At 39.7% G+C, this 2,663-nt stretch overlaps 1 annotated feature.

Moving 5' to 3' along the window:
• Positions 1,732 to 1,932: a silencer, noted in NCBI's record as "peak4110 fragment used in MPRA reporter construct". NCBI's record gives its function as "represses an SCP1 promoter by STARR-seq MPRAs in K562 erythroleukemia cells {active_cell/tissue: K562}" and the evidence as "EXISTENCE:reporter gene assay evidence [ECO:0000049][PMID:32103011]".

The raw sequence follows: 2,663 nt of genomic DNA on the forward strand, positions 1-2,663 counted from the left end.
TTGGTAAGTATTATTGACTGACTGACTAACTAATGTGGTCATTAGTCTTCATAAAGAAAGGCTCTCTACAAAAATGGAGGGATGCCCTTTTTCTGGCATTTAATACGTAAGAAATTGCCTCCGATAGAAACCAGAGTTGCCTGATTACTATCAGCACAGGAGAAATGTATTAATGTGCCTTTCTAGTAACAGGTTTTTAGAAAGTCAAATATAAACAAATCTGTCTATTTGTGTGTGTGCATGTGGTAGTGGGGAGGGAAGAAAAAATGAGGGGGAGAGAAAGAGAAATAAGAACCAAGTTTATTATACTGTATACAGGGGGAAAAAATTTTCCCAAGGTCCTAACAGAAGAGCAAAGTGCCACTGTCATAGCCTCAGTAGTGTTAGGGTTGCTTTTATGTATTTATTTATTTACTTATTTATTTATTTTTCCTTTTTTTTTCCTTTTTCTTTTTTTCTTCTTTTTTTTCTTTTTTTTTTTTTTTTTGGACAGAGTCTCACACTGTCGCCTGGGCTGGAGTGCATTGGTGCAATCTCGACTCACTGCAACCTCTGCCTCCCAGGTTCAAGTGATTCTCCTGCCTCAGCTGCCCAAGTAGCTGGGATTACAGGTGTCTGCCACCATGCCTAGCTAATTTTTTTGTATTTTTAGTAGAGATGAGGTTTCACTATGTTGGCCAGGCTGGTCTCGAACTCCTGACCTCGTGATCCACCCACCTTGGCCTCCCAAAGTGCTGGGATTACAGGCGTGAGCCACCGCCCCTGTCCAGGATTGCTTTTATAGCCAGTCTTCAGGTGCCCACTGTAGGAACAATGTCATTTAACCCTCGGGATTATTCTGTGCCAAATCTGGATAATGACTAATATTCAACACAGATATTCTCAGCTCAGAAGAGCAATTAGCAAATTCAGAAATTCTAAGTGCTTGCTTCCTTTTTAGTCAAATACAAATGTTTGTTAAAAGATATTATTTTGCTTTACACTTTTTCTCTCAGAAATAAACAGATGCTTGAATTCCCACAGTGCTGCTTGAGCCTCACACCATGTCATCCTGCCAGGCACCCAGATCCAGTTCTAGAGTTTCACATGATCATGAGTGTTGGTTAATAAGTCAATGTGAACTGGGAGGGGAGATTTTTCAGGAGTGCCACAGGGCTCTCCCTTTAATCACATACACTCCCTGCTTTCATTGGAAAGTGTACGATGATGTCAGAGTGCCCCAGAATGGAGCTAGTTGGAAGACTGCCGTCATAGGGATGCCTTAGTGAATTAATAAGGTTTTAATTTCTGGCTCTCAACTTTGTAGATGTAAAAGTTGATTTATCAATATGTGAGAAAGGATGAATCTTTCTGAAGGTTATGTCATCACACTCACTAAGCACACAGAGAATAATGTCTAGAATCTGAGTGCCATGTTATCAAATTATACTGAGACTCTTGCAGTCACATGGGCTGATATGTAAGCATCGTCATGCCTAGTACAGACTCTCCCTGCAGATGAAATTATATGGGATGCTAAATTATAATCAGAACAATGTTTGGCGAGCCAAAACTACAACAAGGGAAGCTAATTGGATGAATTTATAAAAATATGCCTCAGCCAAAATAGCTTAATTCAGTCTCCCTTATCATAAGGATAATCTTGCCTAAAGGGACAGTAATATTAAAGACACTAGGAATAACCTCTGTACTTTGGACAGTAGACCTGCATAGCCCATTAGGCCTCAATGAAGTCTTATGCAAGACCAGAAGCCAATTTGCCATTTTAAGGTGATTCTCCATGTTTCTGCTCTAACTGTGCTTCACAATACTCAAGACACTGAATCAGGATGTTTCCTGGAGTGCAGGGAGCTGTCCGTGGTACTGAGCAGTTCTCAGCAACCCAAAGATCCTACTGACTCCTCATCAGACTTCTTTCTCACTGGAATTTTACACCTGGGCTGTTAACACCAGGCCAGGTCAAATTCAAAGGAGAGAAAAAAGCTCATTATGAAGGGTAAAATCCAAAACACTGTGCATAAAGATATGTGTGCACAATTTTTATACATAAAGATTTCATAAAGCCAAAGCATCAGGAAATGAAAAGAAATACAGAAAGAAAAATGATGGTAAATGAGACATTAATTTACCCTTCTAATCTCTATCACAGCAAAAAGATAATTTAAAAATCTATATGAGAACCACAAAATACACAAAAATTATGTAGCAAAGCCTATAGCCTGAAAAAGTAAACATTGAAATTTGTATGTCCATAAAATGTTTACAAAATTGAGTACATATTACACACCCCACCGCAAAAACATCTAAGCAAAGTAGAGACTGTAGAAATGCTACAGATTATATTCTCTGATTATGACACAACAAAACTAGAAATTACGGCATGGAAATTTAAAAGCTTTCTCTTAAATAATTCTATGTCAAAAAGAAATCCAGGCTGGGTACAGTGGCTCATGCCTGTAATTCCAGTACTTTGGGAGGCCAAGGTGGGCAGGTCACTTGAGGTCAGGAGTTCAAGACCAGCCTCGTCAACATGGCGACACCCTGTCTCTACTAAAAATACAAAAATTAGCAGGGCCTGGTGGCGCATGCCTGTAATCCCAGCTACTTAGGAGGCTGAGGCAGGAGAAATTCTTTGAACCCAGAAGGTGGAGGTTGCAGTGAGC

This window comes from Homo sapiens, chromosome 1 (genome assembly GCF_000001405.40).
Source record: "Homo sapiens chromosome 1, GRCh38.p14 Primary Assembly".
NCBI classification, from domain to species: Eukaryota; Metazoa; Chordata; class Mammalia; order Primates; family Hominidae; genus Homo; species Homo sapiens.